At 47.3% G+C, this 23,244-nt stretch overlaps 1 protein-coding gene and 1 long non-coding RNA gene across 6 annotated transcripts in view; one reads left to right on the top strand and one right to left on the bottom strand.

Moving 5' to 3' along the window:
• LOC105373942 (uncharacterized) overlaps positions 1-15,122 on the top strand; it is a 42,554-nt gene extending 27,432 nt beyond the window's left edge. Inside the window, exon 4 of the long non-coding RNA XR_001739943.3 lies at positions 15,059-15,122. This is a non-coding gene — a long non-coding RNA (uncharacterized LOC105373942). The remainder of the gene's footprint in view (positions 1-15,058) is intronic.
• AGAP1 (ArfGAP with GTPase domain, ankyrin repeat and PH domain 1) overlaps positions 1-23,244 on the bottom strand; it is a 637,751-nt gene that overhangs the window by 368,974 nt on the left and 245,533 nt on the right. For all 5 annotated transcript variants that reach the window (NM_001037131.3, NM_014914.5, NM_001244888.2 and 2 more), the window contains exons 4-6: positions 21,772-21,857; positions 17,981-18,122; positions 12,332-12,466 (exon numbers count right to left, since the gene is read on the bottom strand). In NM_001037131.3, the coding sequence (NP_001032208.1) occupies positions 12,332-12,466; positions 17,981-18,122; positions 21,772-21,857 (363 nt within the window). The remainder of the gene's footprint in view (positions 1-12,331; positions 12,467-17,980; positions 18,123-21,771; positions 21,858-23,244) is intronic.

Here is a 23,244-nt window from a genome sequence, read left to right as displayed (position 1 = left end):
CTCACCACAACCTCTGCCTCCTGGGTCCAAGCAATTCTCCTGCCTTAGCCTCCTGAGCAGCTGGGATTACAGGTGCCCACCACTATGCTCAGCTAAGTTCTTTTTTGTATTTTCAGTAGAGACAGGGTTTCGCCATGTTGGCCGGTCTGGTCTTGAACTCCTGACCTCAGGGGATCCACCTGCCTCAGCCTCCCAAAGTGCTGGGATTACAGGTGTGAGCCACCACATCTGGCCTATTTTTCTCTTAGGAAAACAAAGTTGAAATCCACTCTTCCCAGCTGACTTTTGCTTATATCAGGGAGACTCCTAAGGCCGTCAGTGCATCGCTCTCCTCGTCACAACGCTTCGATGAGGCTCTGCATTCAATACACAAACTCACCCGATTCCAGAACCCAACCTTTAGGGATGCCCCTGATCTGCTCGGAGCCTGAATTCCTCACATCCTCTTGGAGCCAGTGTCTGGCCAGGCTCAACCTACAAGGACTATGCAAAAAATATCAAAGTCCATGAGACAAAGCCACCCTTTCTGAGGTTAAAGAACTTCACAACTTAAAAAGGATTACTATTCCTCATCTTTCATCAAGTGAACAAATTCAGTGCTGCTAACCCAGTGGTTTGTGGGTAGCTCCTCGATGAGTGAAGTTTACTTAGAAAAAAGGACCACATGGCTATGTCCATATTCTCTGCAATTTTTTTTTTTTTTTTTTTTGAGACGGAGTTTTCCTCTTATCCCCCCAGGCTGGAATGCAACGGCACAATCTCGGCTCACTGGAACTTCCGGCTCCTGGGTTCAATCGATTCTCCTGCCTCAGCCTCCCGAGTAGGTGGGATTACAGGCATGCACCATTACACCCGGCTAATTTTTTGCTTTTAGTAGAGATGGGGTTTCACCATGTTGGCCAGGCTGGTCTTGAACTCCCGACCTCAGGTGATCCACCCACCTCGGCCTCCCAAAGTGCTGGGATTACAGGCATGAGCCACTGTGCGCCCGGCCTATGTCCATATTCCCTAAGGAAAAAAAAATTATAAAAAACTTCAAAATAACTGGAAAACATCAGCTACAGATTATAACAACTTCTGACTATCCTAGTTAAGTAATATTCTCTTATTCTTTTGATCATCGATTCCATGGAGGGTTAACTAGGTCAAAAAGTACATCACTACTTAATCATTTTAAAAACATTAGAAAGAGCAGAATGCCGTGGCATTATGAACAGATTATGAACAAAAATAAAAGCCATTTGTATGCATTAATGATACATCACGCTAATTCAAGCTGGCTCAAGTCATTAGAGAGAAGTCCTGGGGCAAAACACAGCTATGATACCGCAGTGCAGAGAAGTATTAAAATAACCATTTTCTATGTCATTGATAAAATTAATTCTATGAGCAAAAGAGATGAGTCTTAACATGAAAATCAAAATAGAGAACATTTACTAATAGTGTGTTTAATGATCTAATGTTGGCAGTGTGAGAGTTAATTCAGGCATTTCTCTGCACACGTATGAGCATCTGTGCACACTTAACGTTTCTAGTAAGAGAAGCACAGCAGGAAAAATCCCAGACTTAGGGTAAGAAATTGCCAGAAGAGATCACAGGCTCTATTAACACAATATTCTGCAACATCACTAAATAACAATTTATTTATTGTCTCTGGTTGTTTGCAGCATCAACCTTAAGATTTTAAGATAATTTCTTCCTGTTATTTCTGAAAGAATCAAAATTCCTTTCCTTATAGGTTCCTTGGGTGTCACTCTATCATGTTTCATACTTGACCCCATATTGCTAAGGCCAGCAGGTGCCATCTGTAGCGTATGGAGCACAATGATAATTAAGATATTCCCTCCCCCACCTAAACATTTTCATATTAAATGGCTGGTGTTAAGCAAATCAAGCGATAGACTGAGAGAGAATCCTTTAAAAGTTGGGCTGCTGGGAGTGGTGGCTAACGCCTATAATCCCATCACACTTTGGAAGGCTGAGACAGGAGGATCACTTGAGACCAGGAGCTGGAGACTGGATTTGGCAATACATCGAGACCCTCATCTCTACAAAAATTTTGAAAAATGACCTGGGCATGGTGGCATGCACCAGTAGCGCTAGCTACTCAGGAGACTGAGGTAGGAGGATGGCTTGAGCCCAAGAGTCTGAAACTGCAGTGAGCTATGATGGCATCACTGTACTCCAGCCTGTGTGACAGATCGAGATCCTGTCTCAATTAAGAAATAATAATAAAAAGAAAGGGCAACTCTAAACAAGAAACAAGCTGATTTCATACTTCTAAGATGAAATAATTGAAATAATATTCAAAAACACTTGGATGATTTAAGGATAATCACCTCAAGCACATTCTCAAATTACTCCTGAAAATGTCTGGTGTAGCTTCATAACGAATTCTATCTTACACATTTGTATTTATTTTGTTTTTGGTTTTGTTTTTTGAGACGGAGTCTCGCTCTGTCGCCCAGGCTGGAGTGCAGTGGCGTGATCTCAGCTCACTGCAACCTCCGCCTCCCGGGTTCAAGAGATTCTCCCTCCTCAGCCTCCCGAGTAGCCGGGACTACAGGCACACGCCACCATGCCTGGCTAATTTTTGTATTTTTAGAGAGGGGGGTTTCGGCATGTTGGCCAGGCTGGTCTCAAACTCTTGACCTCAGGTAATTCGCCTGCCTCAGCCTCCCAAAGTGCTTAGATTACAGCTGTGAACCTCTGCGCCCAGCCCATCTTCTGTATTTGTATTTACCGAGTGAATATGGAAGATTTTTGTCTCAGTTGATGTGCCAGAAGCTTCTCTCATCAGTAAAACATGTGCTTTTATAGCTTCATGAGGGTAAGAATTTTTCAACCCAAACTAATTTTTTTCTAAAAATAGTAACTCAAAAGTATTTTTCATTTTGTTGGATTTTTTTAAACCTCTGAATGTATGGTTTACTATACAAAAAGCTTTATTTTAGTTTTGGTATTAATTTGCTATTTCAGTTTATAATTTAACCCTGTTGTAGAAAGAGCTTCTTTGGTTAAGAACTGAATTCGAAAATGCATATGAAGAAAGGAGTTGACAATGTCATGTTTCATAAAAATGATCACCATCAAACATTTATGTATTTTCCCATCCAAATATAAACCAGGGATATGGCATAAGAGAAAGACCCACACAAACCCACCAAGGCTTCTTCCTCACATGTGCGCCCCCACCAACAGGCTGAATCAAGTCTCCTTACAGTCAACAGCAGGTCTGCACCTCTCCCATTCGCTGGGAGATAAGCTACTAGGCAGGTCAGATGTGGCTCTTCTGGAGACCATCTGCAGATTCTCACATGCACTGGATGGCCCTACATGTGAAGCTGCCAGGGCCGGGCGCGGTGGCTCACGCCTGTAATCCCAGCACTTTGGGAGGCCAAGGCGGGCGGATCACGAGGTCAGGAGATCAAGACCATCCTGGCTAACACGGTGAAAGCCCGTCTCTACTAAAAATACAAAAAAATTAGCCGGGCGTGGTGGCAGGCGCCTGTAGTCCCAGCTACTTGGGAGGCTGAAGCAGGAGAATGGTGTGAACCCAGGAGGTGGAGCTTGCAGTGAGCTGAGATCACACCACTGCAGTCCAGCCTGGGTGACAGAGCGAGACTCCATCTCAAAAAAAAAAAAAAAAAAAAAAGAATGACATCAACAACCCTAGGGCTAACGACACCAGAATGTCTCCCAAACCAGCATCAAACCCCCTTATATGACCGGGTGCCATGGCTCATGCCTGTAATCCCAGCACTTTGGGAGGCTGAGGCGGTCGGATCGCTTTGAGCTCAGGAGTTCGAGACTAGGCTGGGCAACATGGCAAAACCCCATTTCTACTAAAAATACAAAAACTAGCTGGGTGTGCTGGCACGCACCTGTAATCCCAGCAACTTGGGAGGCTGGGGCGGGAGGACGGCTTGAGCCCAGAAGGCAGAGGTTGCAGTGAACCAAGATTGTGTCACTGCACTCCAGCTTGTGTGACAGTGAGACATTGTCTCAAAACAAAACAAAAACAACACGCCTTACGTGACTTGATCATTTAACTCTTGAAGAATGTTTTCTGCTCAGCCCCCAACCCCCATTTGTATTGGTACCGCATAAGTGCTGCCAGAGCCTTACAGAGGTCACTTTCTTCATGTCATCTTTGTTCTCAGAAAATGTTCAAATATGAACCCCCTTAATGAAGTGTAATTTAAGCAGCTGAACCTCTTTCATACTGTCCCAATACACATCTACCACCCATCTGTCCCAGGAAGTCTTAGAAATAAGACTTTCAATGTGTGGAGGGGGTGAGGGTGTAGAGACGGGGACAGTGATGAGTACAGGTGCACAGCCAAGACCACAGGTAGAAACGGGAAATGATGGCCTCGCCTGACACCAGCTGCACCATGTACCTCTGGGAAGGCAGCATTTCCAACAATGTAGTCCCAGCTGTAAACTGGGCCTAATAAGATCCACTATCCTACATCATAAGCCGTTAAATTGTTGCATAATTATTAGTCATTACTACAAGTGATTAAAAAATGGACAATTAATGACCCATTAATCCACCTTTTCAACATATATCAAGTGCCTAATGTACACATATACATGGCTTGCTTTCAAGTGTAAAAAATCTTATTTTTTGAAGTATTCCCTCGCTAACACACATATACACACACACATGCACGCATGCACACACACACTAGTTCCAATCTAATCTGTAATAAAGGAGAAAAAAATAGCAACAAAAACAAATCATAAAACAGGCCACCCCGACAATGAAAATTAAGCTGATTTCAGGAAAGAATGGAATAGGCTTAACTGATACATCCTTTAACAGCACAAGGACTGTGGTGTGAGCAAAACAAAATGGTCCAAGATGATGCAGGACCCAGGAGAAGAGGCCCAGAAGACTGCTTACATTCACAGATGCTCTAGTGCGTGCAATTAGGTTGCACAAACGGACTCATTAACATAGCTCCCCTGGTTCTGGACACTCCTGTAATTAGGACCAGGCAGCTGCAGCCATTTAATGTGAGATGGGGTTCTTTGCACACACCAGGATTTCAATCTCTGGAAGCAAAGCATCAAGAGCACACCGAGGCTCCCTGACTTCCCGCACAACCTTGGTAAAAATCATGCAACCTCTCCCAGCTCGGGCTCTCGGCATGGGTTAGATAGGCCCAGGTGAGCCGTTACTGGGAAGGGACAAAAGACAAATGGAATGGCTTCTATAAAAGTGCTTTCCAGAATGTTAACTGCAGCACAAACATAAAAAGCCAGGGGCAATGAGGTCAAAGGACTGACATGGATCTGCCTAGACCAGGAACTACTCTACCAGATAAACACCCATCCACCAGGACGATGTACACAGCGTGTGAACAGAGGAAGCCCTAATAAGCCACAAGGCTGTGGCCACACTAGCACCTGGCACACAGAGCCCGGGAGCACTAGCACCTGGCACACAGGGCCCGGGAGCGCTAGCACCTGGCACACAGCGCCCTTCCAGTGCCACTGCCCAGCTTTCCCATACACCTAGAACCTACTGTCTCTCCCTCCACAATAATGCAGATCTGTTCTAGGACAGAAGTCTATGTGAGATCACCAAACTGGCCCTGGAGACCGTTAAGCAGAGAGATGATAATTTGTAATTTATCTCTTTGACATGGATCTTGACCTGGTCTAACAACTACTATCAAAGTTCTGCATGTAGGTTTTCCTATGGTCATATGAATACAAGCTTAAGACGCTGACGTTTTGGTGGGGAGCACGTCCTAGCACAGTGCAGATCATATATCTAATGTGATGTTCTGAACTGGGATTTAACAAGTGACTAGAAGGTTCAGAAAATGCATGCAAGAATATTAAATTCTATATAGCAGCAGTCCCCAACCTTTTTGGCACCAAGGACTGGTTTCATGGAAGACAATTTTTCTGAGGATCAGGGGTTGGGGGGCAGGTGGGGGATGGGGATGGTTTTGGGATGAAACGGTTCCACCTCAGCTCGTCAGGCATTAGAGTCTCCTAAGGAATGCGTAACCTAGATCTCACGCATGCACAGTTCACAACAGGGCTCGTGCTCCTAGGAGAATCTAAGGCTGCTGCTGATCCGACAGGAGGCGGAGCTCGGGGAGTAATGCTCACTTGCAAGCTGCTCACCTCCTGTGCAGCCTGACTGGGGACCCCTGCTGTATACAAAACATGCTGGGATGCAAATAAACAATCCATGCATAAAACCACACTGTGGACCACTCACGTACATCTTTATCAGCTCATTCTAGGAGAGGGGGAGTGAAGAGAGAAAGGGCATCGAGCTGCTTGGAGAAGAAATGAAAACAATTCTTTGTACCACTATCAGGTTGTACTCCTGATTGCCTATGAAAGGGAAACCCCTCTTTCTTTAGGAATCAGGGGCCTTTAAAATCCCACATGCCATACAGCTACCACAAAGACACCATAATTTAACAATCATAAACTATGCCCAATAAAAGTTAGGGTGCATTGGCTCAAGAATGTCAAAACCAACAAAAAAACCCTGATCCTGTCTCCCCGATTGAACAGATGCCACAACACAGGCCCCTGTGTTCCTCTGTGGCACCGCCACCCGCAGCAGAGAAAGCTCCGAACACGCTACTCAGGAAGACGAGAAACTCAAAGCATTTGAAGACAGGCTAAAATTTACACTCTCCAAAACCTAACTGCAGGGAACGACAGTGCTGAATGCACCATCTCCAAGAATATACAGGCAGAGCCCGCTCTCCACTCTCTTCCTCCCAAGGTGCACGTGTAATGCTCAAAGGGGCCCTGTTGCTACCTATACACAGCTTGCTACCACCTTGAACATGACTTGGCCTTCTGAAGGGAGGATTTATTTTTGTCACTAAGTTATAACTATTTTAGGTGACCTTTCAGCATGTAGGCTGAAAAATCCCATCACCAAAACTATACCCTTCCTGACCTTCCGGAGACCTGACTACAGTCCCATGTCAGACACACACTCTGTCTGTCCAGAAGAGCTGCTTGCTGCCACTCAGAAAGCTGCTTCTTCATATGAAGTGGGAAAAATGTCTCTTTAAAGAAGAATCGCAAGCTGGGTGCAGTGTGTCATGCCTGCAATCCCAGCACTTTGGAAGGCCGAGGCCAGAGGATCACTTGAGGCCAGGATTTCAAGACCAGCCTAGCCAACATGGCAAAAACCAGTCTCTACTAAATAGCCAAAAAGTAGCTGGGCATGATGGCGCACACCTGTAATCCCAGCTACTCAGGAGGCAGAGGCAGGAGAACTGCTTGAACCCGGGAGGTAGAGGCTGTAGTGAGTCTAGATCGTGCCACTGCACTCCAACCTGGGTGACAGAGACCCTGCCTCGAAAAAAGGGAAGGGGAAGGGGAGGGATCGTAGGACCAGAGGAACAATGTCTACATGGAATGAACTTTATTTTTCTGTAATCCTTCATGTTCATGTATCCAGGCCCTAGGAGAACAAATCAACAGGGACTTTTGAAAAATTTAATGCCAAACACTGAAATCACCATTTTAACTTTAAAAATAGAAAAACTTGTATATAGGTTATTTCCCAGTTGCAGGAAGAGGCAAACAGAGCCATGCAGAATCTGACAGGCACAGAGCCGCTGGCTGTGAAGCAATCTAGGAACGAGAGCCCTGTGCAGTCCCTGCAGACGGACCTGCAGCCCCCAGCTGCCAAGTCCGCACATCCAGCCCGCCCCAGCCCCCAGTGCCTCCCTTCCCCAGGGCTCTGCTGAGAATCCAAACGGTTGGGTACCCACAGCCCACGTCCGGCTCAGCTGCCCAGGTCAAGCAGAAACCATCTTGTGGAACCAGCTCACCCAGCCCCGCAAGCCACACAAACTCGCCTGTGAGCAGGAGCGAGAACGCTCCACCCCCAGAAAGCAGCCTGGGCTGCCACACTTCTTTTCCACCCCTGAGCAAGACACAAGGTCATGTTTCTGGGTGACCGTTTGATGTTTACCCTCCCTAGTGGACCTTAACTTCACGGAGGAAGGGACCCTGCCTGCGCTTCCCAATCTGCCTCTAGCCCCTGACCAGACGCACAGTGTGTGGGAAGCTGGTGCTCAGATGAACGAGTGACTGGGTGGATGAACCAGCCTGCTAGGCTGCTTCCCAACACCTACAGCCACTTGCCAGTAGCCATCTGGAAACTCCATGAAAGCAAAGTAAACAGGACCACACAAGCGAACAAAAAGTGAATGCAAGGTTTCTCCATTCATTTTTACAATGTCCTTTTGTTACAAGACACTAAGAAGTCAAATGTTGGAGAAGAAAGAATGAGGTCCCTGGCCTTTTAAATGAACCTCGGTACAGAGCCAATCAGGAACATGGCCTCCGCAGGGCAATGGAAGCAGCTGGATTTTTTTTTTTTTTTTATTTACAAGCCAAACATTATGTAGAAATTACACGCTTTTCCTTTATGTTTTCTTTCTACCATATACAGGTATAAAAAGTAAATAAACAAAGTAAGCCCTAGGGCAAAAAAGAAGCCAGAGAGTTATCAAGAAATGTGAATAAACTGAGTCGGCGAGCAGGCAGGGGCCCTGCTGGCTGGGTGCATCCCCTGCAAGGCCCTCCCCAGACCTGTGGGCAAAGCTGGTGTGTTCTTAAGGCCCCAGGACCTGATTTGCTTCCATTTTAATGACAAAATGTCCCGGTGCTGTGGTTAAGTCGAGGCTCTCAGGTCCCAAGATGGGGGATCCAGTCCAGGCTGTGTCCCTTTGGGTCAAGCTATGTCATTTCTCTGAGCCTCAATTTCTTCAACTTTATATAAACCTTACAATGTTTAACTTTCCTTGAGGATTTTTACTTTGTTATTAAGGATTGCTAAGTACTGAATAAAGCTCCTACTCAGCAACTACTTTTCTCACTAACAATGAGAGTGTTTGTGATTTACATGAAAATACATATACAAATAAGAAACCATATACCATATAACTATGATATAAAATATACAAAGTAACTGATTTTATTTTAAAAATGTTATCTTCATATGAAAATATTTTAAGGACAAAAAAATCGCAATAGTCACGGAAGTTGTAGCTTCACAGGTATTTGCTTTTCAAATTCCATAAAATCCTACTTTTTTTTTTTTTTGAGACAGAGTCTCGCTCTGTCACCCAGGATGGAGCGCAATTGTGCAATCTCAGCTGACTGCAACCTCCGCCTCCCAGGTTCAAGCGATTCTCCTGCCTTGGCTTCCTGAGTAGCTGGGATTACAGGTGCCTGCCACCATGCCCGGCTAATTTTTTGCAATTTTAGTAGAGATGGGATTTCGCCATGGTGGCCAGGCTGGTCTCGAACTATGGACCTCAGGTGATCTGCCCTCCTCAGCCTCCCAAAGTGTTGGGATTACAGGCCTGAGCCACTGCGCCCAGCCAAAATCCGAATACATAATGAGAGTGTATTATTTCTATAATACGAAACTGGAACGGAAATCTCCTGTGCCCATGAAAACGGACACTCATCACAGCATCACCTGGGGAGGTGCGACATGAGCTGTCACAGTAACGGAAACGCTTTTTCTGAATATTTTAAACTAATATTTAGAAATATCAGTCCTTATTCTCCTCTTGCCACCCCCAACCTGAAGAAAACGAAATGCTTCCAACACAGAGGTGGGTGGCTGCCTGTCCTCTGCCTTGAACGTGCTGGGTGTGGTATGGAACTCAACCCAAATTCTTATACTGAAATCCTGACCCCCAGGGGAATAAGAGGTGGGGCCTCTGCCAGGTGACTGATCACAAGGGTGGAACCCTGTGATGGGTTAAGTGCCTTTATGGGAAGGGACTGGCGAGGGCTTGTGTCCTCTGTTCTCCACTATGCAAACACATATCCCACTAGGAGGATGGCCCTCAGCAGACACCACACCCACCAGCACCTGGCCCTGGACTCCCATCCTCCGTAAGTAGGACAAGTAAAAGTCTGTTGTATAAGCCACTGGGTCTTGTTAGAGCAGCCAGAACGTACAAAGGCTGTTTGGCAGGAAGGCAGCATCATCCTGACAACCCCCAGTATTCATTAATTGACAACATTATTTTTATAAGAAGCACTCATCAATTTATGGAAAACTCATGTATGTTAACCGTGATAAATACAAAAGCAAAGGAGTCACTGTGGAAACTAAACTTATCCAGACAACTGAGTCCCTGATATCCTGCATCGGGGACCGGCAAGCTCTCTGCACGGGGCCAGAGAGTGAATATTCTGGGCTTCTCAGGCCGCAAAGACCCTCATCTCTGCTGTCACAGCTGGAGAGGGGCCCAAACCCGCTGCAGCCCATCGACACAAAGCGTGGCTCTGCGTCATGAAAAGTCTATTTACAGCCAGGCGCGGTGGCTCATGCCTATAATCCTAGCACTTTGGGAGGCCAAGGTGGGCAGATTGCCTGGGCTCAGGAGTTTGAGACCAACTTGGGCAACATGGTGAAAATCCCATCTCTACTAAAATGCAAAAAATTAGCCAGGTGTGGCAGCGTGTACCTGTAATTCCAGCTACTGGGGAGGCTGAGGCACAAGATTTGCCTGAACCTGGGAGGCAGAGGTTGCAGTGAGCTGCCATCACGCCATTGCACTCCAGCCTGGGCAAAGAGCTAGACTCTGTCTCCAAAAAAAAGAAGAAAAGTCTATTTATGAAAACAGGCAGCTGGCCTCATGCACGGGCCTGGGGACCCTTCATCTACGACGCTTTACTTCAACATTCACAGGGGCCTCGGCAGCGCAGCGGCCGACAGTGACCTTGCTCCATTAGGGTGCACCTCTCAGAAGAGCTCTAAGGGCCTCCCTGCACAGTTCTTCCAAGTCTCACTAACATCTCACTCATGTTCACCAGCACGGCTTGAAATGAGGTTTACTCCCCACAGGACATTCTCCCGACAGAGGCAGCAGGAGGTGCCCGAGATATACGTTAGTGGAGGGAAGAAGGGGCTGTGGGACCCCAGCGACTTTGTGCTGATCCTCAGGGGACCCTGCGCTTCTTCAGCATTGGCACTGGATAAGGCGAGAAGAAACCTAAGCCATGAAGCAGTAACTAGGACCAACGTGCTGAAAAACAGGTAAGTATCTGAGAGGCAGAGATGCGCGGGAAGAGACGGCAGGCTTAGAAAGGAACCTCACTGCTCCAGGAAAGAAAATGTGAAGTTTGAGAACTGATGTCATCTTTGAAACTGAGTTGAACAGTGAATGTACAGAATCCCTACAATTTCATCTGAAGACTAATTTAAACATGTAATAGAAAATTGCCCCATTTGGAGGAAGTCCCGGGAACAGTCCTGCAGCCACTGCTTTCACCGTGGGTCTTCAAGGTCAGAGCGCGGCGAGTCCTCCATCACCTTGAAGCGGCTCCAGCACTCTCTGGAGAGCCCGAGTGTGGCTGCCCTGCTCTGCCCCCGACAACCCCCTGGGCACCAGAGCAGGGGGACAGGTGGCTCTGCCCCCATGGATTTAAACCAGAAGGGGAGAGGACCCTACAAGTGACTTCCACCACTCCCACCAGCAAGGGGACCCTCTGCCAGAACCATGCCTCTCCCAAGCTTCCAACTTGAAAAGACTGGCTTTAGAAGTATCAGTCCTTATTTACCCCAGACCCTCCTATCCCCAGGGTGACGCCACCTCTCCCGCCCACCCCACGCATCTGCACAGGCTCCTCTCTCATAGACGACGTCTGGCGCTATGATCATCCACAAGTATGTGACCCTCTTGCAGAACCTCATGCTCTCCTAGGAGAATTTTCTGTCTGATTTGTGGCTGTTCCTGAAGGTAGGTGATCAATAATGAATAAAATAACCTAAAAACAATTCCAAAAGGCTGGTCCTCACCCTCTGCTGTGAGTGGTATCGTGTCATTTTATTATTTTTTTGGTGGGGGGAGGTCCAAACTTGACTCTCTCTCTCCTCCTTTCAGTTCTCTTCTCAAAGCCTAATATCAAATATTTAAACTGCTTTAAAGGACGGGACTGGATTAAGAATGGGCAATTACAATAAAGAAATGCTCACAAACAAGTTTTACAGAGCACATGGATGAGTAACAGCTCAAGAAATGTTCTATCCTGTACACAAAAAGGCCCCATAGGAGACACACAGACCCAACACCAGGCTGTTCTCAAGCCATGCCTTGTTGTCTCTTCTGAACACAGCACTGTTTATATGAAACATACCTGAGAATTGCCTCTGGAATGGACTGCTCTCGATACTAATGCCCACCCATCAACGACATATTTCCACCACCCACATGCACAAGTGCAGGCAGGACTGACTTCTTGAAGTGCCTCCCGTCTATCATGAACTGAAATTAAACTCCCAGCCACGCGCATTTACCGTCCTGGAAGACCCTCTCCACATTCAGCCCGTATGTAGCACACGTCTCGTAGTACGTGCACCGTTTCAGGTCGTTGGAGAGCTTCCTCGCCCTGGCGTCATCGATGACCCTCGGGTTAGCAGAACTTATGGCATCTGGAACAGAAGACCAAAAAGTAACGGCACAGTGACAATGACAGCTCTAAATACTTCCTACACTCCCCACAACACGGAAAACCAGTACCTTACTCAGCAGAAATGTAATTAGTTTATGAATCTGGAATTGTAGAGCATCGTTTGCCTCCCAACTAAGAGACTCAAACACAAGAGAAAGTTATTCATTCGTAGATATTTGTTTTACAGGAGCGCTTCTGAAACTGCAATTTTAAAATGTTCAGAAAGAAGGAAAAAGACTTAAATATGGGTCTAGAGGATACATACTTTAGAAAGGAGGAAAAACCACACACACAGTCCCTATGTGCAGGCCCCCTTCTGTGCACCACGCAGGTGGCTAAGCATACTCCCTACACTGGCATTCTTCTTCTAGGTGTGGTCACTTGTCCAATGACGCACTTAATAAATGCTCACTGAGCCCCCATTTGGGGTTTGTTTCTGTTCTATGCACAGGGATACCCCAGTGAATTGTTGAAACAGACACAATCTGCACTCTCATGAAACAGACATTCTAGTTGGCCAGAGAGGCAAGCAGAAAAGAAAGATGAATGTGATGAATGGTTCTGAATGTAAGATGGCCACACTGTTAACTGATGCCGGGAAGGAGGTCAGGAGGCTTGGGTGACTCTGGGTTTTAGAGCAAGAGGTCAGGGAACCCTCACCTGCAGCAGGTGGGGCGCAGTAGGCACTGCCTGGGGCAGAACGCCTGAGGCAGAGGGCAGCAGGACAGCTGGTGTATATGAGGGAGATGTAGGGGTGAGGCCTAGAGGGGTGGGAGGGAGGTGTGTGGAGAGGGGAGCAGCGAGTCCCCTGAGGTTTTGATGGACCCCCTCAGGGTCACAGGTGACCTGGATCCCCCCAATCTAAGTCATGTGTGCACACGGGGGCGTTTGAGCAGCTGCACAGGGATGTCGGCACCAGTTTCCTAAAAAAGAAACTGAGCTTTTTTTTTTTTTAAGCTCAGCTGCCAGGATTCCCCACCCCCAGCCCTGCCCCATCCATTCCATTACTATTGAGTTACAGTGGCACGTGGAACAGAGAAATGAGGAGCTGGAATGTGAACAGCCACAGGGCTTAGGGAGGAGAGAGGACTTTTCACAGACAGCTTTTTTTTTCTTTTTTTTTAATGAGATGGAGTCTCACTGTGTCGCCCAGGCTGGAGTACAGTGGCGTGAGCTGGCTCACTGCAACCTCTGCCTCCTGGTTTCAAATGATTCTCCTGCCTCAGGCTCCCAAGTAGCTGGGATTACAGGTACTCACCACCATGCCCAGCTAATTTTTTGTATTTTTAGTCGACACGGGGTTTCACCATGTTGGCCAGGCTGGTCTCAACTCCTGGCCTCAAGTGATCCACCCGCCTGGGCCTCCCAAAGTGTTGGGATTACAGGCGTGAGCCACTGCGCCCAGCCTTCAGAGACAGTTTCCTAACCTGAATCTTTTTCATAGGGCTTGAAGGCTCTTATGCCAAAGAAAACAATAAACAACTCTTTAAACAAAAATCCACCAACAGGATTTCTCCACCAGTCAAAGAAATAGCAGCAAAGTTATACAACAGAGCGACCACCTTTGACATTTTATTTTTGTGGAGAAAGGGCATTTGAGAACTTCATTTTTTGAAGTATATTTAAAAAGTGATGTCCTGAGGAATTTATTCAGTTTTTTCTTTTCTCTTTTCTCATGTTATTTTCTTAGCCCTATGAAATAGGGTTGGGCTGACGTTTCCTCGTTACTGGAAGGCAAGTGAACTCTGCAGTTAAGGGTTTCTTCTCTGACAATCACCACTACAGCCTCCATAGGCTGCACCCCCGTTCCAGGGATACGGTCAAAGGGCACCTCGTCCTGCCTTCTTGTCTTGCTGATTAGTAAATCTGACTTGCATTTCACAACATTTAAGAAAAGAAAGTTTTTTTTTTAAGTATAAACATTTCTTTTTAATTGTAAAAAGAAGTTACAAGTCCATGATGTTTCAATGCTCTAGGATAATTTTGAAAACACAGGCCACATAGCATCCACCCAGCTTCCATGAGACCCTGACCTGCGGCCGAGCAATCCCGCAGCCCCTCCGTCCTCAGCGGCATGCTCGCTTGGTTTCTGTCAAATTTCGGCTTCAAAGGTGCACCACGGGAATCTCTGCCACTGCACCAAAACGGGCTTCTGCACTCGCATTTCGGTTCTATACCTGTCTCATTTTCATTCCACTTTTAACTCCGTAGCTTTTTACAGATCGTGCTTCTCCCTCAAATCAATTTAATTTGCAAGTCTTTAAAACAGAACTTGTTTAACAAACATTAAATGATTACCTCATTCATTCCCATCTTGCCCAATTATGAACATTCGTGCAGTCCTTGGCTACTGCCCAGAAAGAGCTCCTGCTGGCAGAGCTGCCCCTCCCGCCAGCGGGCGGAGGCCTCACCCCAGCCCAGGAATCCTTTGGCAATGAACCTAATTCCTCTTCCGTTCTTTCCCATCCCATATGCTCTGACCTCTAACGCTGCCTACCCCAAAGCAGCAGGAAGAGAAATGCCAGGTGCCTTCCTAGACAACCTGATCCCTCTTTTGTCTCTGGCATCCCAGGAAGCCAAACCCCTGAAAGAGCAGCCGAGCACGGGCTTCACGGAGAGCAAGTCTGCACGCAGGAAGCAAGCGTCGCGGCAGGGACCCTCAGAGCCCACGTGCATGCCAGCTTCCTGCCATCAGGCTTTCTGGGGTGCTCCCTGAAGTCTAGGGAAGGACCAAGAGAATCCCGCAGGTGAGGAATACAGCCCTGATTGCAACTTTTCGTTCTGGTTCATCTGGGGGTGGCCCAGCTAAGAGGAGTCCTGCAGGGAGGGCATGGGGCCCGCTTACCTGCTCACCCCGGGAGGGCGTGGGGCCAGCTTACCTGTTCACCCCGGGAGGGTGTGGGGCTGACTTACCTCCCAACCCCAGAGGCCACCCTCGCACACGCACACACTCCCCTGGGGCCTTCCTGGGCATCTTTCCACATCCGATCAACGGATGTTCATGGAATTCATGGGAATAAATGGGGGTACTTTCTTTTACTCAAGGACTTCAACTTCATCAGGGTTTCTCGAGAATCTAAGCAGCCACCCTGGCAGGAGGCTCGATGTGCCCCTTGGCTCAGGCAGGAGACTCAGAGGGATACGCTGCCTCCAGGGGCAGGGACAGTGGGGGGTGGGGTTCAGGATTCCAGGCAGGACCCTGGAACACTGGTCGCAGATTGAAATATGAGGAACAAAAGCAGCCATTGTTAAGATGCCTATCACATACCCACGGATGCACTGAGTGTCTTCTGGGAATTCCTGTTGAACCCCACCAAAGTCCCAGGTGTCAAGGTCACCCAGCCAGCAGCCAGTCACACGCAGGTGTGTGTGGTCCCAACTCCCGGGATCTCAGACACTCCCTTCCTACTGATGGAACATGGATGTGTACTCAGAACTCAGAGAACAGAACCTGATCGCAGGGGATCTTTCCAGGCTGGGAACTTCACTGTCACTTTTCACAGTGAGTCTAAGCAAAAGCCCATTCTGAGTCCTAAAGTCAAACCTCCTGAGCTCCAGCAGCCTGTGAGTGGTGTCTGCACACACAGCCCCGAAGGACCCTGCTCAAAAATGCCACGGTCGGGCCTGCAGGAAGGGGAGCTTATTCGGAATTTCTCTATTCGACTTCAAGGCAGCTTTAAGCAGAATCTGCTGTGGATGAGCATCCACTTTAAAACACGATTAGGCATTTTCAAGATGCCACCTCAAATACGGCAACTCTGCATTCTCACAAGAACCAAGGACTTTTGGGTGGTGCGGCCTTGTCTCCTGGTGAACACTAGAGGGTGCATTAGGCCTAAGAATCCCTCCTCCCTTCTGTGTTAGGATTAAACAGAGCTCTGGCTCTGAAGGTTTCAGGAGTGAGAGCGACCACGTACGCTTTAAAAAAAAAAAAAAAAAAAAAAAAAAAAAAAAAAGTTGGGGGAGGTGCTCTCCAGGAAGCCCAACTCTAACATCTCTCATCTAGCACACTGAAAAGATACTTATAGTTTTGTTTTTTTTTTCCCTTGAGATGGAGTCTCCCTCTGTCTACCAGGCTGGAGTGCAGTGGCACGATCTTGGCTCACTGCAACCTCCATCTCCCCAGATTCAAAAGATTCTCCTGCCTCAGCCTCCCAAGTAGCTGGGATTACAGACACCCGCCAACATGCCCGGCTTTTTATTTTTTTGAGACAGAATCTCACTCTGTCACCCAGGCTGGAGTGCAATGGCGTGATCTCAGCTCACTGCAACCTCTGCTTCCTGGGTTCAAGTGATCCTCCTGCCTCAGCCTCCTGAGCAGCTGGTATTACAGGCATGCACCACCATGCCTGGCTAATTTTTCTATTTTTAGTACAGACAGGGTTTCACCATGTGGGCCAGGCTGGTCAACTCCTGACTTCAACTGATCCCACCTGCCTGGGCCTCCCAAAGTGCTGGAATTACAGGCGTGAGCCACCACGTCTGGCTGGAAAATGTTTGTGGTTTATGCCACACTATTTATCTGGGCTTTTGTAGGTTCGTGATCAAGCAGCCAATCATCTGCCTGGGCAACCTCCTACTTAGACCACACCTAGTGCAGTATGTACAGCTGACGTCCTAAAGAGAAGCGTCTCACATCAGAGCATGGATGGGCATGTCAGATAGGCTCATTCTAAAAGAATTCGCAAAACAGTCTATTCATAGCCACAACAAAAATGAAGGGATATACAATTTTTCCTGATAGGATTATTTGTATGTTACCCATATTTCTGACAAAGCAGTTGTAAAGCTAACCTCCATCTGACTTTTACAAACATCCTACGTGACATCTTAGACCCTAGTGGCAGACCCAGCACAACCATAGGTCTGTGATCAAGAGCGAGGACATTGTGTCTCAGGCCATGTGACGGCCACTCCACTAAGAGACCAAGTTCGAAGTGACCCTCAGAGAAAACAAGAAATGTGCCCAGTTGGATTCTCTGTCTGAGGGGCCTGTCAGATTAAAAATAAGATACAGATCATAAGACGGTGACAAACAGAACTTAATAAACAGAACTGCTCTATGTTCAAAATCAGCACTATTTTCAAGGTGCACTGAAAGATAAGCTTTAATAGATTGTTTATAAATCATTTTATAGAACAGAGAATTAAAATATAGCAGAAAATATATATATGTATTTGACTATATATATACAAAACATATACACACACACATATATATTTTTTTTCCAGAAAACAAGGGAAAATAGATTTTATTTTTCATAAAGCACCTGGGATATGTGTGTGTGTGTTGTTTTCAGGTTGTTAAATGAGTGGTTTCACCATAGAATCAAATCAGGAAATGTGATCATTTCAGTTCCATAATTTTTCCCAAAAAAGTGAGCGTTCAGTAGGCAATTTTTCCTTCTTTAAAGCATTTTTTAAACTCCTCCATACTGAAAATATGTAACTGTTAGAACCCTTTCAAAACAATCTGCACACGAACATCACTCACCCTGGGTTCCCACCAGAACCAGAGGAATCTCGCTCGTGTTCCGATAGTTGGCCATTCGACTGTAGTAGTGGTAAACGGTCTGGAAACTTATTTCATCCTCCAAGCTGAAGACAAATATAACAGCGTCCACCCACATGGCAAACTAGGGAGAGAAGAAGGGGAGGAGAGCAGGAGCTGAGTGAGCAGGCTTGATTAAGAACAGAGATGTCTGCATGGCGGCAGGCAGCAGGGGGCTGCAGGAATCCCCTCGGTCACACACTGGGTGCTTGACTTTTGACTGTCACTTTTACACACTGTCACGGCATCCACGTCCTCCTCCTGAGCACACCATGCCTGGTGTTCCCCTTGGGAATGGGCCCTTCATCCTGTTCCCACCCAAGCCACTCTGTCTTCAGAGGACACAAACCACACAGTGTCCCCGCGGTCCTCATGCTCCTGGCCTGTCCGCCCGCTGCCCCGACCTGCCAAGGCGGCCCCGCAGACAGAAGGCCAGACCCACCTCCTGCCAGAGCCCCTCAAGCCCTAAGGCTTTCCACTGTACTCTCAACCTCTTAAGGAAGCCTTGCTGGACCCCTCATGCCTGCTCAGAACCTCCCCACCCCTCAGTCCTTCCCACTCGCTACCGCAGCGGCTGGCCTACTCTGTTGAAGGGTAAAGATTCAACCCAGGCTCATCCTTGGCTGAACTCCTGCTGCACCTCTGCAAAGAAATGACTACTTATTTTCAGGGAAATTAACAAAACTTAGGGAAGAAAACTTCACAATAGCCTCACTCTCGCCATTTTGTTCTTGCTTTGCCGTATTCATTTTATTCTTGTCTTGCCAGTTGAACCTACATCACATCCTCTTTTGACAGATACCCACACTGTCAGGCATATACTAGTACCTCATTTAGTACCAACAGCCATCTTGGAAAACTGGAGCTGAGTGAGTGGAGGCTGCCTGCAGGGCAGAGACTTCCCACACTCACTGCAACCAGCGCAGCACATCTGACATCAGCTCTATCTGGCAACAAAGATCCTTCTCTTTCCAAGTGCAAATTTGAAAAACAAAACCGAAATCCATCCCGTCTGCTTTCCCTAAAAGAAGCTGTAGTTCCTAGATAGGTTTTTATGGCCAAGGTTATCACCTCTAATACATTTGGTCTAAGTTTTTAACAGGTTAAACTCTGACTTCTGCATGTAAGTGAAAAGTGCATTCAGTTATATGTAAAACATGTACATGGTAAAACTTAACCCAAAGTTCTAGTGATAAATACAAAATTAAATGAGAATGAGGACTTGAAAACAAAGAAGGCCGGGAGAGACCTGGGAAGATCGTGATAGCAGCTCCCACAGAGAGTGCCAGGACCAAGGCTGACGGAAGGCATCTCCTTTTCCTCTTCTCTGCCTTGAGAAAGGCTCTTCCTGTCTCTTCTAAGAAAGCAGGAGGAGCAGACTCCCACTGCGCCCATAAAGAGTACTGGCTGACCCGGAACCAGACCTCAGTTCCCGAGCCGGGAGCTGAAGCCCATCTGAGCATCCACCCGGAGGAAACGTGAACTGTGGCTCTCATCTCCTAAGGGTGCATTCTGACTTCCCCAGCAACTTGTGTGGGGGGCACCCAATAAATAACCCCCCAATCTAACATGTTCACCATCAGAAAACTGAAACTATGCTTTGGGGTTTGTTTTTTGAGACAAAGTCTCGCTCCATCGCCCAGGCTGGAGTGCAGTGGTGAGATCTCAGCTCACTGCAACCACCTCCTTCTGGGTTTAAGGGATTCTGCTGCCTCAGCCTCCCAAACAGCTAGGATTACAGGCACGTGCCACCACGCCTGGCTAATTTTTGTATTTTTAGTAGAAATGGGGTTTCACCATGTTGGCCAGGCTGGTCTTGAACTCCCGACCTCAGGTGATCTGCCTGCCTCAGCTTCCCAAAGTGCTGGGATTACAGGTGTGAGCCGCTGCACCTAGCCTCTTCTGTAGATTTTTCTCTATATTTAAGCTTTTGTGCTTCATATACTGGTAAGACTTGCTCTTCAGTTGTGGAGAAAAAAGCTTGTTTCCAGTCACTCAAAACATTTATGTGCTGGGGAAAACGGAAAATCAACTCAGGTGATTCTAAATGTTACCTACTTCTTTCTCCTATCACCAGCCACAGGAGGGACCTTGCCTCCAAGAGTTCCTTTGTAGCAGAACAAACACGGTCCTATACATTCAGTGGGACTAAGAAAGAGCTGACTTTTATCAGCATCTGACTGATAGGATCCTATCAGACCTCTAACTTTGCCCTGCCATACTATAAACTACCAGACGGTCACTGAACATGGGCTCAAACTGCTTTGTAACTAAGTTTTCACTTTTAACACGTCTTCAAGGTCTTTCCTTGTTATGATCAAGTTCATGGTATCGTTAATGCTAAGAAACAAAATGTTACACACTTTAACAGCTTTGAAATCAGAATGCACCTAATTATTGCGGCTGTTTCATAGTTTAATTGGCAGCATCCTTCTTTCGAATACTGGTACATCTTAATGGTCACTGTCAATGGTCAGAGTCAATGCAACATGGCAAATCTGTGGCATCTTCTGTATAACCGCACAGCCCTCCAACCTGTGGAGTACTAGACCTGAGGCCTAAGAAGTCCTGTATTCAGTATCTTTCACTTTCTCCATCTTACAATCCTATGCTGCCCGTTCACAAAAAGGTTAAGTCCAGGAAATAATGCCAAGAAAATGTCTGACATTCCGTTTGCATTTGAGGTCACTAGCCGTTACCAGCTCTCGGCTCCTTTGAAGTGTTTAAATGGGTCGGGCGCGGTGGCTCACGCCTGTAATCCCAGCACTTTGGGAGGCCGAGGTGAGTGGATCACGAGGTCAGGAGATCGAGACCATCCTGGCTAACATGGTGAAACTCCATCTCTACTAAAAATACAAAAAATTAGCCAGGCGTGGTAGCAGGCGCCCGTAGTCCCAGCTACTCAGGAGGCTGAGGCAGGAGAATGGCCTGAACCTGGGAGGTGGAGCTTGTAGTGAGCCGAGATCACGTCACTGCACTCCAGCCTGGGTAACAGAGCGAGACTGTCTCAAAAAAAAAAAATAAATAAATAATAAAAAATAACAATAATAATAATAACAACAACAACAATAATAATAATAACAATAATAATAAAGTGCTTAACTGGTAAATTATGCTGTAAGTAAAACAAAGCAGGTTAAATAAACCAAAAAAAGAGATCTTCCACACTCATGTTTTGTTATTTCCAGAATGACCATCTTTCCAGGAACTTCCAAAGAAATCATAATATGCTTCATACCGGCTTTCGGTGGAGACTGCCTTGCTTGGGCCAAGGCCAGGGCGGCACAGAGGGGCCAATGCCTGTAGTTACCAGAGACAGAGAGAAGGTGGGACTCCCAATTGCACCCAGCAAGCTCTCTAACTCTCACTGCTCTAGAGATCAAACCACTCAAAGGAAAAGGCCAAAAAACAAACCAAACGACAGAAATTTCCAGATGTCATTTCAACTGGGCTCCCCAACCAGGGCAGAGTGTGCGTTTCCTGCCTTTTTAAAAACACAGAAAGTGAAAAGCCATCACATAAACCCAACTTCCCTGCAGGATTTAGTCTGGGAAAAAAATAAAAAAAGAATTAGCTTCTTAGAGATGAGAAAAAAATGCAGTGAGAGGAAACATTTTTTATGGGGTTTCCACTTTTTTGGAAACCAAGTCACCGATTTCTAGAAGCACTTCTTGAATCAAACCTTAGAAAACAAAGGGAAAAAAAGCAGGCTTGGGGCATGCATGTATACTCACCTGCGCCTCCGGGGGGCCCCCTTCATCTCTGATCAGCAGCAGATAGCTCTGTCCATCAACGACAATCTCTTTCTTGAACCTGCCACCTGCCACACACACAAAACATCTCGTTACACGAGAACAACAGAGAGTGAGGAGGGCAGACAGACGTGGGCTTCGCTTGTGGAAAAATACACCCTAGGCTGTCGCCCTGGAGGCAACTGAGTATTTAGGATGTTGCCAGCAAATGCTGAATTTTAACAGAGCCGAACTCAGATTTAAATGTTTGTCTTTAAGAACCCCTGTGCGTTTCCAGTTGGAAGGCACAGCTTCCTTCGCAATGCCAGACACTCGTGGCCAATTAGTGTGGACTTCTCATGTGGGCTTTCTATGTAAATTCAGGAATTCTCACTCACTGGGAAACAGAGAACATTAAAATTGTCATTCTCTTGTTGGGTTCACAAAACTGAAACAAATTTTTCATGCTTAACAGGTGCCTGATCTGCAACCTCTTGGTAAATTACAGGGCCGAGAACCTGTATTCTCCTCAAGAGAAACCCAGTTCTTGAAAGGGAGACATAGAACATCATGAGAATGGTGTTTCCAGAGTCACAGGCCACAATTAGGGAGGGACGCTTCACTACTACACATGGGTTAGACAGAAACTACTGGATGGGACCTCCGCACGGGTGGAGACAGCAGAGCAGCGGCTGACAGGAGGCGTTAGAGACCACGCGGGGTTAGCGGGAGACCACCGGGACCCTGCAGGAACAGAGGTGACCATGAGGAGGGGGTGCGGGCATGAGGGGCCTGGTGCTACCTTGGACGTCCCGGCCCCTGATGCTCTCAGGAGGGGATGGTACAAGGTTGCTGCAGTGCCCAGCCCGGCCCGCTAGGCCAGCCCTGCTCCTGCTGGGCAGCGGGAAGGATTCCACCCTGGCTCCTCTGCCTTCTCCAATGACAGACGTCCCCCTCCAGATCCTGGGCTCTGAGACCACGCTAGGGAACCCTCATGGGGATTCGAAACTCTTGTTTTAAAGAGGGAAGGCACGCATCGGTTCCCAGCTCTTGTCTTCCGCTCCTCTGTGCAGATGCCGTCCAGAAACCCTGTCTAAACCCCAAATCGCTGGACCCAGAGGACAATGCTGCCAGAGCCCAGAGGCTGCCTGCCAGCTCCACTGCCGCCCAGAGCGACGTCTGATTCCCTCCCCTGCGACGGGAACCTTCCCTCCTAGAATCCTGGGTCTGAACCACATCAGTGCCTGAGAAGCAAAAAATCAGAGTCCCCATCCCAGCCTGAAAGTGTCCGAGGCCCTCCAGACGGGCAGCTACCCTCTGAGGCCACAGAGGGCTGACTGGGGCAGTGGGGCGTTGGCCCGTTCCCGCGAGCTCCTGCCATGCTCGTGTGCTCACACTCAACACCTATGCCACCATCACAGGCAGCCGCATTTGCTAAAGCAAATAAATCTGCTGTTCAGTTCATTCAATAACACA

This window comes from Homo sapiens, chromosome 2 (assembly GCF_000001405.40).
Source record: "Homo sapiens chromosome 2, GRCh38.p14 Primary Assembly".
NCBI lineage: Eukaryota > Metazoa > Chordata > Mammalia > Primates > Hominidae > Homo > Homo sapiens.
This window is presented reverse-complemented; position numbering and strand designations above follow the sequence as displayed.